Source organism: Homo sapiens, chromosome 1 (assembly GCF_000001405.40).
Source record: "Homo sapiens chromosome 1, GRCh38.p14 Primary Assembly".
In the NCBI taxonomy this organism is placed as follows: domain Eukaryota; kingdom Metazoa; phylum Chordata; class Mammalia; order Primates; family Hominidae; genus Homo; species Homo sapiens.
Window position 1 is genome coordinate 206415782 of NC_000001.11, and position 14281 is coordinate 206430062.

At 43.9% G+C, this 14281-nt stretch overlaps 1 protein-coding gene across 17 annotated transcripts in view; it reads left to right on the forward strand.

Annotated features, from left to right (window-relative positions):
• The window catches only part of SRGAP2 (SLIT-ROBO Rho GTPase activating protein 2), a 260896-nt gene that overhangs the window by 212241 nt on the left and 34374 nt on the right, over positions 1-14281 (forward strand). For all 17 annotated transcript variants that reach the window (XM_011509354.3, NM_001377444.1, NM_015326.5 and 14 more), the window contains 3 exons: positions 108-192; positions 3592-3619; positions 5469-5493. In XM_011509354.3, coding sequence (XP_011507656.1) covers positions 108-192; positions 3592-3619; positions 5469-5493 — 138 coding nt within the window. The remainder of the gene's footprint in view (positions 1-107; positions 193-3591; positions 3620-5468; positions 5494-14281) is intronic.

The window sequence follows — 14281 nt, forward strand, 5'->3', positions numbered from 1 at the left end:
AGAAACCAAATGACCTCTATATAGGGGAATTGTCCAGCTGAGCATCTGTGATTTTTTTCTTCTTCTTCAGGAGTCTGATTGCTCTTTTTCCTCCTCCTCTCTTACAGAAAATGAAAGAGTACCTGGAGGGCAGGAACCTCATCACCAAGTTACAAGCCAAGCATGACCTTCTGCAGAAAACCCTGGGAGAAAGTGAGTGTGGGAACCCTCTGCTAGAGGCTTGACAGTGAGGCCAGCTGGAGCTTTCTTGCTGAGCACACGCCTCCATCCTCAGCCAAGTGGACCCGATCTTGTTGTATGAATGCCTTTCTTTTCTTGGCTTGTTGGATGTGGAAGCACACACCCCAAATGACTGCTTGAGTAATGGGGAAAGGCCAATGCTTAATGAAGCACTAACGTGTATCATCTAGTTGTTTAAATGGAGCGTGCCTGCTCTCCACCCAGTCCCTCCACCCTCGCCTCCTCTGCCACGACTAGGGTAGAGAGGCTGAGGGGTTATTTATTCTCCAGACACTTTGTTAAAACTCCTAGCTCCTCTGAGGCAGCACTGAGACTGGAGCAAGAAGGTAGGGAGCTGTGAGATGAGATACGCAGCTGCTCTGAGAGGAGAGAATCCTCAAATGCAGGAGGGATGGACAGACTGCTGCTTTCTATAGCTTCCAGAAAGAGCATCAGTTTCCTTCTGCTTTGAAAGCTCCTAATGCTGTTTAAGTGGCAGCCCTCTCTCGTGTGGCTATGCTGAGGCCTTGGTGCTGAATGGACTGTCTTGTCTCATAGAATGATTTTAACCAGACCCTGGAAAGTAGCAAGGCAGAGAACTGGACCGGCACTCTGGACTTTCTCTCCTCAACTGTCAAACAGAAGGTGGAGGTTGAAAGAGAAGCTTCCCCAGGGTTTTTTGGCACCCTGCCCAGATTTCCTGCCCAACTCTCAGCATCCTATGATTAATGGGATTCCCAGGTTGGGGATGCCTCTGAATGCCGCCCCCCCCTCCCTGCCCCACTAATCTAATCTCCTCACTTAAAGATAGGAGGGAGTGGAAGGGAGAAGCTGCAGGGAATATGTGCTAACATCAGTTACAGGCAAGCCTGTACTTACACAGAGATCTGACATTTTAAAATAAATTCTTGAGCACTCTTTAGACAAACTGCAAAGTTTAGGAAAGTGTGCAATACTCCTTGGCTCATTGGCCCCAGGAATTGGAGCCTCACTTCTTATTATACCAGAACCTCCTACCCACCTTTTTTGCCCTGTCCTTTTCCTGCCTTGGATGATTTCCCAGATGATTAATTTTTTTCTCTAATCTTTTATCTAATGACTTCTTTTTTTTTTTTTTTTTTGAGATGGAGTCTTGCTATGTCACCCAGGCTGGAGTGGAGTGGTGCCATCTCGGCTCACTGCCAACTCCACCTCCTAGATTAAAGGGATTCTCCCACCTCAGCCTCCCCAGTAACTGGGATTACAGGCACGTGCCACCACGCCTGGGTAAGTTTTGTATTTTCAGTTGAGATGGGGTTTTGCCATGTTGGCCAGGCTGGTCTCAATCTCCTGACCTCAGGTGATCCACCCACCTCAGCTTCCCAAAGTGCTGGGATTACAAGCGTGAGCCACCATGCCTGGCTGATCTTATGACTTTTTTTTTTTTTTTTTTTTTGAGATGGAGTCTTGCTCTGTCACCCAGGCTGGAGTGCAGTGGTGTGATCTTGGCTTATTGCAAACTCCACCTCCCAGGTTAAAGCAATTCTACCACCTCAGCCTCCTGAATAGCTGGGATTACAGGTGCCCACCACCATGCCTGGCTAATTTTTTTGTATTCTTAGTAGGGACGAGGTTTCACCATCTGGGCCAGGCTGGTCTCAAACTCCTGACCTCAGGTGATCTGCCGGCCTCGGCCTCCCAAAGTGCTGGGATTACAGGTGTGAGCCACCGGGCCCAGCACAATCTTATGGCTTTTAAGACATTTTCTTTTATGTGAAGAAAGCTGGTTAGATAATTTCTATTCTTCTTCCTCACCACCGAAAGGACTCAGACTAAACAAGTTTGGGCATTGAGGGCCAAACTTTGCTTATAGAAAATCTTTACTCTTGGGTTATCACATCACTCCATGGAGAATCAAGACAGTCTAAGCATAGTCCATAAGTAAGACAGAGAGCAGGGCCTTGGGGCCATACAAATGCATTCATATGCGCTCACATTTGTGTGTGTGAGTGAATGGGTTTACTCACACATTTATGCACCAAATGTGCTACTATGGAGGGATGAAGGCTGATCATTAGTGCTGCAAATTGTCTTAATCTAAAGATGACAAGTTCTAGCAATAAAGAAAAAAAAAAGCTATAAATCTTTCTGTGTGCAAGTCATCACGTCCCTGCCTTCTGAATGTTTTTGTCACCATGATGCAGGAGCCCCTTGTTCTTGCCGTAGAGGGATAATTGATGTGTATGAATATTCCAGAATGGAAATGGAACAGATGTAGAAAATAATGGCTCAGAATAATATTTTTGCACATAAGAGCTGAGCCTTTGGTAACGAGAGACAGTTAGGGGTAGGGGATGGCGTTGCTCAAGATGAGCTGAACTGTAAGCAACAATTACCAACCTTTAAAGGCAAGAAAATGCCCTGCCCTCCCTCCGCCAGCCCTTGGAGTTGCCTTTGCAAGAGCTTGGATAGGGAGGAGTGTGGGAGCTGATTTTTACTTCCCCCAGCTCAGCACCTGCTAGGGTTTGCCCCTGGTTTAAATAATGCAGATCTAAAACAGATTGAGCTTCATTAACTGTGGTCCTAAAGAAAGCAATATATATTACATCATTTCCCATGTAGACATGCATATATATTTTTTTAAAACATGAGAATACTTCTCATGAACTTGAAGATTTTCAGTTTCATTTTTTTAAAAGCTAGCAATGACCCATTAAACTCCTAAGGCCCACTGTTAGATTGAGAACCATGATTTGCTAGCAGTATCAACATTGTATCTCCCATCTCCCTTGCCACCTCAGTCAAACCTAACAGGAGAATTTACTATGAATCTAAAGCTAGAATATCCATATCTTCTCTGTTCTCTCCCGCAAACAACTCCTCTTGTTCTCTCAGCCTCCAACTCTCTCTGTGTGTGTGTGTGTGTGTGTGTGTGTGTGTGTGTGTGTGTGTGTGTGTATACTCAGGAGCAAGTAAACTTGGCCTTCCACCCCACCACACACACATCCAACATAAGAGAAGCTGAATTTCATCTCTGGGAGGGCTTCTAATAATTTATTCTATTAAGTATGATCTGTGCTGCTATTGTTCCACTACCTCCATCTCTATGTTCCCATTGGGAAGCAGAATTGGCCCTAAGGTTTAGGGGGACTGACCTGGACTGGGAATCAGCATCAGAAACAGTTTTTGCCCAGAAAGAGGGTCTTGGTGCTTTCTTTTCTTTCTCTCTGTCTCTGTCTCTCTCTGTCTCTCTCTCTCTCTCCTCTCTTTTGCCACACACTGTTATACTGTGGCTGTCTAGGGGAGATAGGCATGGTAGTTACTAGGAGTGGGTCTCCCTCCTTCACCTCTTCTCCTTTAACATAATGCTTTTTGCCTTTGTGTTTCCAACAGGTCAGCGGACAGATTGCAGTCTAGCCAGGTGAGTGTGGCCTGGGACAGGCCTGGGAAGTGATAGAGGCTTGGTGGGTAGAGCAATCTTACTCTGGGAGAGAGCCAAGGAGTTGAGTTGTAAAGGCATTGAATGACTTTACAAAGCAATGGCCTGGGGCGGGGTTTGTTTACTTCCCTTTGCCTTACTGACCCCATCTGATCTCAGATAGAAATGGGGTTTTCTGGGACTTTGAGAAGGAGCTAAGCAGAACTGAGTAAAAGGGGTTATCATTTGCTGAAATTGTCCCAGAGACCCCCTAACGCCACTGAATTGCAAGTAACATAAACATTCAACTGTAGAGGATTCTGGTAACCTAACCTTAGCTGCTAGACTTCAACATAGGGGCTCTGGGGAGTCTCTGACCCAGAGAAAGAAGATCAGGAGATGGCATTTGATTTTTTTTTTTTTTTAATGCCCAGAAAAGAAGGCAGCCCCTAATTAGTAGTGACTGTTGCTGGATAATGAAATATTACATTGCATTGGCTCGCCAAAGAGTATTGGTAGAAATATTTGCCTGATGTACAAGTATGCACCCCTCCCAATCTTTCCCCACCTTCCCCTTCCTCCTCCACCCCAGCCAAATATTTTCCCTCTCAGTCATGGTGCTGCTATGAGAAAATTTGTGAGCTGTCGGAGAGCAAGGTATTCATTCATCCAGCAGTTCTCAGATGCCTAGAAATGTGCTGATTTAACTAGAGAAGGGGCTTTAATGGGTTGGACTCCTTAGAGACCCTGGGTTAGCCCATTATATCAACCACTTATATCTGCCAAAACACATAATAATTATGAGGCCATTTACAATTATAGGTTCATTATTTAGAGATAGCTTCATTTGGCTTTCATTGTTTTGTCATTGTGAATTACAATAAAGATCCCATTAATATACCAGTCTTGATGACTGGAGGGAACCAGGATAATGGGATTCTCTGGAACACATCTTTTTGGTGTTAGAGTCTTACTGTAAGTTCACCTGAGCTCCTGAGTCTGTGGAAGGCTCTGTAGGACTGAAAAGAGCTGAGTTGAATTTCCCGGTGCTGAGTTATTTTGCTGTGAGACCTTAGGCCGCTCTTTTCCCCTCTCTGAACTCTGGTTTCCTCTTATAGAAGACCAGAGCACTCCACTAGATTCAAGGTGTCGTAGGATTCCAAAGGGGTTCCTCAGGAGTGGCCTGGTGGCAGGGGCAGAGCGATGACCAGCAACCAGGCTCTGGTCCCATCCTTCACTCAGAGCAGGACAGCCCTGGCCTCCTTGGTTTGGGTGTTATGCCTCTGAGTCAGATTCCCTTTGAGAAGAGGCTTCTGAGGCTAAACACAGATTGGAAAACATTGACCTAGAGGATTCTCAAGGTTGTTTCCAAACTAGATGTTCTACACTCTAAACCCAGAAAAATTGTTCCCTGTAAAGATAGCGATCTTTAAGGATTTCCTAGAGAAACAAAACAAAAAGCATCCTTTGGTGTTTCCCAGTGTCTCCTAGCAGGCAAAAAAATCTTCTTATTGTCTAGCCCAAAAATATTTTACTAAAAATTGAACCAGTCCTCTCCTATTCTAATTTTGAGTAGTGGTAGACATTAAAAGCAGGGACGTCTGTGCTTTTGTGAAAAAAAAGAGCTTTCGTAGGCTTTATTGTGGAAGTAATTTATCAAGTTTCTTAGCCATTTCTGGGACTGAACTGAGTAATGTCACATGTTTCATTGGCTACCACACAGATTTTTTTTAATTATTAAAAACTTTACTTCTGGGTTTAAGAGTGATTGTTTATCTCATTCGTCCCAATTTTCTCTTTTTCTCCCTTGTTGCTGGATTGGTCCAATCTGATTCGGCGGGATTGGTCACAGGCGCAGCTCAACTGTGAGGAAACAGGTAAGGGCCCAAGCGGGGCCAGGCTGGTCTGGCCTGAAAATATAGTCCATCCCACAGGCATTTATTGAGCGCCACTGTGTGCAGGACAGACACCTCTGACTTCATGCCTGCATTTGGAATGTATCATTTAGTCATAGTATGTTTAATATGGTGGCAATGTCATTGATTTAACTAGTTGGAGTGGCCATAGTCTTTTTGACTTGTCCCTCTCCTTTCTAGTCATTTATCCTCTTGCATACTAGGGGTTTGGTTTCATTGGTGCAGATTGTTCCAGAACTGCCCATGGCATCCTTTTCCAAGACCACAAAAGAGGCTTGACACTTCCTACATTTGTGCTAACATATCAGTAACTCACAGCACCTAATTAGCTAGACCAGACAATCTCGCTTTAAGTTGGCAGATTTTGTTTGATTGTTTCCGGTGGCGTAGTCATTCTAGATGGACTCCTAAGACATGCTAACAATGAGAAGATTAAGTCTGGTCTAGGAACGATAGGCAAGGGCCGTTCAACTCTGCAATTTGGTGCATGATCTTCAGTGTTGTGTTAAAATCTGCCACTGGGCAGCCAGCTCTCATTACCCATATTAGGAGGGCTCTTAGAGAGCAGTGGCATGGATAATCCACATCAATGGATAATCTAAACAGCACTTGTGCTTGTTTAAAAAAAATTAATTGAAGTATTTTTTGCAGTAGCAAAATTGACTTCCTAATTATACTTTATGGCAAATACTGAAATGATTTTATGTCCCCTAAGCTCATACCAGCTATGCAGTAGACAGCAGGGAGGGCGGGTGGAGAGAGCTCAGAAATGTCTTTGTGTCTGCTCAGGGGAAAGCTAATCCAGGCTTTAAAAAATCATTTTGGGTAATTCTCAGTGGCTCTAGCCACAGGGAGATAATCGAATAAAGAGGGCGCATGGTTTTTATGGTGTCGGCAGCACCGGCATTTCTTCAGCTCATCTGACTGCTCTGACAGGGTGGACCATTAAGCTGGGGAACTTGGATGATACAGGCCTCGCTTGTCTCAGCTTTGCTGTCACTATTTTCCCCTTCTCTACTTTGAATCTCGTCTTAATGAGTATGCCATCAGATGCAATTACACATTTTTTAAATTATAAAAATTTAATTGCAAGTCTCCTCCCTCTTTTTCCTCTATTTCTTTCTTCCTCCTCTTTCTTCCATAATTTCATTTAAAACTAGAGAGGAATGGAGTGACTCCTAGAGATAATTTAGTGCATTTAAAATTAATAGGTGCATATCTTGCAGAGGGAGCAAGCCATTTTCCCTTTAACACTAAGAAAAGAAATGAGCTTGAAGTTTGTTCTTTTCAGTTCCTTGGCTGAAACCAGGCATCTTGCTTATAGCTGGAGCATGTTTGCAAGGGGTTTGCAGCTCCACTGTGGCTGCAGGAGTGCCAGAGACATCAGTTTGGCAGGTGATATGTGCCCTTGGTTGGGCTCACTGTTGGAGGGGAACAGCACCCATCTGGTTTGCATCCTGCTGCACATAAGCAGTTGCAGGCAAAGTGTGTTTGCCTGGTGCTAGATTTGCGTAGGAGTTACAAGATATACCAAAATCCCCAATCCAATAAAGACCTTGTTTTCATTCTGCTGCCCCAGTTTCTCTCTAGCAGTTCATATCTACTAGTGGATCAGCAAGAAGTTTTCCTAAGATGGTCAGGAAGATAAAATAGATAGTAAGTTACTTGGAAGGTGAGTAATCTTATATAAGTAACAAGGAAATAATTGTTTGTTTATGGCAAATCAGGCAAACAAGAGGAAGAAGCTAGTAGTTTTTGTTTTTGAGGGTCTTTAATGGGTTCCGGTCATTTTTGACCCTGTCAAAGACTAGGTTTAAACCATCCCAGACCTTTTTTAAAAAGGAGACAGTCTCACTGCTGCTTCCAGACCTTCCCTGCTCCCTGTAACCTCAGCATTATTTCTCTCCTGGCCATGACTTCATATCTTCTTTGTTGGCCTTTCTCCATTCCTCTAAATTGAAGCATTTCTCCAGGGCTCTGTCCTCTCACGATGTCTCTCTATATTCTTTCCTTTGTCACTCTTGTTCCCTTAGATGAATCTTTCTCTTCTTCCCTAAGCATTCTTTTGTTCTATAATGCTGTCCTTTTGAGTCCAATGAGTAATTCCTCAGTGATCGACTAGACATTCATACTTGAAAGTTGTGATAGCACCTTCTACCTTCAGCATCAGTCTCACCGTCCCCCATCACATTTTGATTTGCGTAGCCCCTCCCTTCACTTCTCTGTTTGTGTTCGGGGGGACTCCATTCTTCACAGTCTCTGAGGCCCCAAATCTTACCTTTGATGCTTTTTTCATCATTACTCACATATAATCTGTTGTCAAGATTTGTATTTTCTCCCTTGGTAAAAATGAAAATTAACAAATGTAGTACAAATAAGTACCTAACAAAAACTCTAACCCTCTTACTCATGTGAAATTATGCCAGATAATGCATATTCACAGATTTTCTGGCCACCTTTCTGATTTTTTTTTTTTCTTTTTTGAGACAGGGTCTGGCTGTGCCAGGCTGGAGTGCAGTGGCACAATCTTGGCTCCCTGTAACCTCCACCTCCTAGGCTCAAGCAGTGCACCCACCATAGCCTCCTGAGTAGCTGGGACTACAGGTGCACACCACCACGCCTGGCTAATTTATGTATTTTTTTTTTTTTTTTTTTTTTTTATAGAGACTGAGTTTCACCATGTTGCGCAGGCTGGTCTCGAATTCCTGAGCTCAAGTGATCCACCTGCCTCGGCCTCCCAAAGTGCTGGGATTATAGGCGTGAGCCACCACGCCCGGCCCTTTCTGATTGTTTTCTCCTGCAAATTACTGGACCACTGCTTTACTATGTTTTCCAACTTAGGCCCTACCTTTCTCCCTCTACTTTTGGTTTAAAGTTCCCTTAATCTGATTGGATGAGAATTTGGCCTGATTCCTTAAAGGCCCCTTCTAACCCTAAGATTTCATTACCAAAAAATAAAAAAGTGTATGAAGGAATTAAGCTGACAAGGATTTCTAACATTGGAGGAGGGAAGAAGACAGAGAGAAAGGAAGAGACGAATAGTACATAAAAATGTAGACACTGCTCAGTCAGTGCTCACGCCTTTAGTCCCAGCACTTTGGGAGGCCCAGATGGGCGGATCACCTGAGGTCAGGAGTTCGAGACCAGCCTGGCCAACATGGTAAAACCCCGTCTCTACCAAAAACAGAAAAATTAGCCAGCCATGGTAGTGGGCACCTGTAATCCCAGCTACTCATGAGTCTGAGGCAGGAGAATCACTTGAACCTGGGAAGCGGAGGTTCCAGTGAGCCGAGATCATGCCATTGTACTCCAGCCTGGGTGACAAGAGAGAGACTCTGTCCCAAAATAAATTAAGATAAAATAAAATAAACTCAGTTAACTCTATGCAAGGGCAGTGGTGAAGTGCAGGTCTTCGTGGCACCACAGGAGTGCACAGACACATCCCAGGGAAATTAATTTACTCATTGCTCAGAAACATTATAAGGAGAGAGGAGGATGGCAGGAGCGTTCAAAGCCTTTGTGACTTTGTCCATTTTGTGCTCCTACTGGACTCTTAGACTCCACTGGAGCAGTGGGGACTAGAAAAATGCCTGTGCAGTAGGACAGGTCATCTTTAGCCCACCCTTACCTGCCACAGGTTATCCATTGGGGGCTGCATGTGAGTGCTGCTGGTAACCACGGACATGCAGGTTAATATTTTTCTTGCCCTGTTTCCTGCCAACCCTTTGTACTTGCCTTTAACTACCACTGATATTCCATTTCCTGCAGGCCAAATTTTGTACTCACACAATTTGTTGAAGCCAGTAGCCTGTAAGCTTTCCAGCTTTCCTCTCTCTAGGTCATAATATATAAACCTAGGACCAACAAAACTATGCAAACGCTCATATCACTAACTTCATTATCACTGCTGCTACTATTTTTTAATAATTTATATTAATACACAATAATTGTACACACTTATGGGGTACATGTAATATTTTGATACATGCATACAATTTGTAATAACCAAATCAGGTTAATTAGGGTATCTGTCATCTCACATATGTATCATTTTTTGGTGTGTATGTATTGGGAACATTCCAAATCTTCTATCTGTTTTGAAATATCCAATAAATTATTATTAACTATTATTATCCTACTGTGCTATCAAACATTAGAACTTATTTCTTCTATCTAACTGTATTTTTATACCCATTAACTAACCTCACTTTTTTTTTGTTTTGTTTTGTTTTGTTTTTTGAGACAGGGTCTCGTTCTGTTGCGCAGGCTGGACTGCAGTGGTGTGATCTCAGCTCACTGCAACCTCTGCCTCCTCAATTCAAGCAGTTCTCATGCCTCGACCTCCCAAGTAGCTGGGATTACAGGCGCGCACCACAACGCCTGGCTTATTTTTGTATTTTTAGTAGAGACAGAGTTTCGCCATGTTGGCCAGGCTGGTCTCGAACTCCTGACCTCAGGTGATCTGCCTGCCTCAGCCTCCCAAAGTGCTGGGATTACAGGCGTGAGCCACTGCACCCTGCCCAACCTCACTTCTTTTTTTTTTTTTTTTTGAGATGGAGTTTCACTCTTGTCGCCCAGGCTGGGGTGCAATGGTGCAATCTTGCCTCACTGCAACCTCCACCTCCTGGATTGAAGCAATTCTCCTGCCTCAGCCTCCCGAGTAGCTGGGATTACAGGCATCTGCTGCCATGCCCAGCTAATTTTTGTATTTTTAGTAGAGACAAAGTTTTACCATGTTGGCCAGGCTAGTCTTGAACTCCTGACCTCAGGTGAGCCACCTCACCTGGCCCAACCTCACTTCTTGACCCCTCACTCCCCGCTACCCTTCCCAGTCTCCAGAAACCGTCATTCTACTCTCTGCCTTCATGCAATCAAATTTTTTAGCTTATAGATACAAGTGAGAATATGCAGTATTTATCTTTCTGTGCCTGGCTAATTTTACTTAACACAGTGTCCTCCAGTTCCATCTATATTGCTGCAAGTGACAGAATTTTATTCTTTTTTATGGCTGAATAATATTTCATTGTGTATATATACCACATTTTACCCATTCATCTATTGATGGACACTTAGGTTGCTTCCATATCTCAGCTATTGTGAATAATGCAGCAATAAACCTGAGAGTGCAGTTACACTGATACTTCAATATACTGATTTCTTTTCTTTTGGATCTATAGCCAGCAGTGGGCCTGCTGGATCATATGGTAGATCTACTTTTAGTTTCTTGAGGAGCTTCCATACTGTTTTTTTGCGGTAGCTGTTCTAATTTATATTCCTGCCAGCAGTGTACAAGCATTCCCCTTTCTCTGCATCCTTGCCAGCATTTGTTATTTTTTGGCTTTTTGATAATTGCCATTTTAATTGTGGTGAGATTATTTAAAAATTTGCATTTCTTATGATTAGTGACATTGAGCATTTTTTCACATACCTGTTGGCCATTTGTATGTCTTCTTTTGAGAATGCCTATTCAAATCATTTGCCCATTTTTTAATCAGATAGTTTGGTTTTTTGCTATTGAGTTGTTTGAGTTCCTTATATATTCTAGTTATTAATCCCTTATCAGGTGGATAGTTTGCAGATATCTTCTCCCATTCTTTAGGTTGTCTCTTCACTCTGTTGATCGTTTCCTTTGCTCTGCAAAAGCTTTGTAGCTTGAGATAATCCCATTTGTCTGTTTTTGCTTTTGTTGCCTATGCTTTTGAGGTCTTACTCAAAAAATCTTTGCCCAGACCAGTACCCTTGAAGCATTGCCCCAATGGTTTTTTTTTTAGTCATTTCATAGTTCAGGTCTTACATTGAAGTCTTTAATCCATTTTGATTTGTTTTTCTATATGGTGAGAGATAGGATCTAGTTTCATTCTTCTGCTGCTATTATTTGTAAATGAGAAATGTAATAACAGAAGTCTGTAAACATAAAAAGACTCCCCCCAGATTGAGCTTTTCTGGCATTTTCATAGTGGAACCCAGTTTCTTCCTTAGAATAGGGAAGAGAAGACAAAGATTCTTCCCCTGAGATCACCCTAGCCTAACCAGCCAGTCAGTGATGCCGACAAGAGGACAGACACTGGCTGCTGTAGCTGGAAAGCTGGAGGAAGCAGATGGGTTTGGGGGTCATGAAGATGAGCATTTGGGTCGCTGCGACCGTCCTGACACCAGCTCCAACTTGGCACATACAGTACTCCCTTTGGCATCATCCCTGGTTCCCAGAAAGCTTGAGAGGTAGAGGCTAAGCCAGCTTTTCTCTCAGCCTGACTTTTTTGTGAGACCCAGCTGCTTGCCTAATAGTGGCCAAACCCTATGGCTACAGTGGCAAATTCAGAGCCAGGGGGGGGATCCACGCAGACCTGTCAAACGGGCAGAAGCTACACAGACCCATCGCACTTGACAGTCTGGTCTCTGTCCTGAACATCTAAAGCCCTTTCTAGTTAAGTTCGGTCCCCTCTCCCTGATCTCTTTCTTCCACACAGCTGAATTATTGTACATTCAGCTGCATTATAAAACCCTACTGGTTTAGGCCAGGCACGATGGTTCATACCTGTAATCCCAGTGCTTTGGGAGGCTAAGGCAGGAGGATTACTTGAGGCTAGGAGTTTGAGACCAGCCTGGGCAACATAGCAAGACCCTCTATGTAAAATAAAAACGTGCTGGGTGTGGTCTGGGTACCTGTAGTTCCAGCTACTCAGGAGGCTGAGGCAGGAGGATCACTTGAGACTATTTGCTCAAGGTTACATTGAGCTATGATCGCACCACTGCACTCCAGCCTAGGCTACAGAGGGAAACCCTGTCTCTAAAAACAATAAATTAATTTAAAATATAAAATAGGCCGGGCGTGGTGACTCACGCCTGTAATCGCAGCACTTTGGGAGGCCGAGACAGGCGGATCACGAGGTCAGGAGATCGAGACCGTCCTGGCTAACACAATGAAACCCTGTCTCTACTAAAAATACAAAAAAATTAGCTGGGCATAGTGGCAGGTGCCTGTATTCCCAGCTACTCGGGAAGCTGAGGCAGGAGAAAGGCATGAACCTGGGAGGCAGAGCTTGCAGTGACCTGAGATCGCACCACTGCACTCTGTCTGGCCTGGGCGACTGATTGAGACTCTGTCTCAAAAAAAAAAAAAAAAAAGAAAAAGAAATTGTATATATAAAATAAAACCCTACTAGTTTTGAGTAATACTTGGTATGCACACCTGGCAATGTTTGCTGAATGCCTAGGGTGCAGTATGGGTAGTGGCAAAGTGTTAGGTCTCCGAGGGAGATTGCCTGGGTTTGAATCCTGGTTTTGCCACTTGCCAGCTGTGTGACCATAGCAGCTACTTAACCTCACTAAGCCTTCATTTCTTCATTTTTCTTTTCTTTTTCTTTTTTGAGACAGGGTCCCGCTCCATCACCCAGGCTGGAGTGCAGTGGCTTGATCTTGGCTCAGTGCAACCTCTGTCCTCTGGGCTCAAGCAGTCCTCCCACCTCAGCCTCGCAAGTAGCTGGGACCACAGGTGTGCAACACCATGCCAGGCTATTTTTAGTAGAGACAGAGTCTGTTGCCCAGGCTGGTCTCACACTCTTGATCTCAAGTGATCTGCTGGCCTCGGCCTCTCAAAGTGCTGGGATTACAGGTGTGAGCGACCGCACCTGGCCTCACTTTTTCATTTTAATGAGTATAATAATAATAATATGTACTCCATAGGATTGTTACCAGCACTAGTCCATCTAAAGGACTTAGTACATGGCCTCACACCTCTTTAAATTCCTCTATAAATGGTAGGCACTAATGTTCATGTGTTAATAGGAAATATTACTCTCCTTGCCTCCAGTCCCCTCCCCAGTCTGTAGAAGGCAAATTGAGGCCCAAAAAAGTTCAGTGACATGAGCCAGACTGTGAAGCAAAACAACAGAGCAAAGATTGACATCTGGGAGGCCTGCTTCTTTGCTTAGTACCTGTTAGTCCCCACTATTTAGAGTTAGTTTTTCTTTTCTATCTTACCTTTATACCAAACAAACCCTCTTTCTGAAGCTCCCATTGGTTCATTCTGCTACCTTCAACTGAGAATAATTGAGCACCTCTTATGTGAGAGCATCATGGCCAACCCTGGACACCCAGGAATTGACATAGGATCTGCTCTTGTGAAGTTTGAGCTGTAGTGGTGACAAGTGCCAACAAATATTCACATCCACACATTGGAGTCACAGTCAGGGTTGAGGAGAACATACCCCCAGCAGGAGCAGCTCATGCAAAGCCACGAGGCAAAGGAGGACTTTGCAGAACAGAAACGTGGCCAGCATAGCTGTAGCAGAAGCTAGGGGAAAGAACAGGCAGTGGAACTGGAGGCACAGGCAGTATTCCTGGCATGCAAGGCCGTGTAAGAGAGTAATGAGAGGTCTTTGAAAGAGTTTAAATAATGAAATGTGCCCTTTTAAGATTACCTAATTACTATGTGAAGGAAGAGAAATGCGGGTCAGAAGATGGCAAGGATGGGAATTGAGGTATTGGTGGATTGAACTAGGTTGGGGGCAGTTGAGATAGAGAGAAGCGAATGGATTTGAGAGATATTTAGAAGGCAGACATGACAGAATATTAATTAATTAGGTGGTGGAGAAGGTGGTGAGAAACTGGTTTGGGGCAGAAGATGATCAGTTTTGTTTAGGACATGCTAACTTTAAGGCATCTGTGTAGCATTCCATGTGGGTGGTTGTATTTTTGTGCTCTGGAACTTGGAGGACAGGCCAGGTGCTTCTTTGTAGACCGGCTGGTG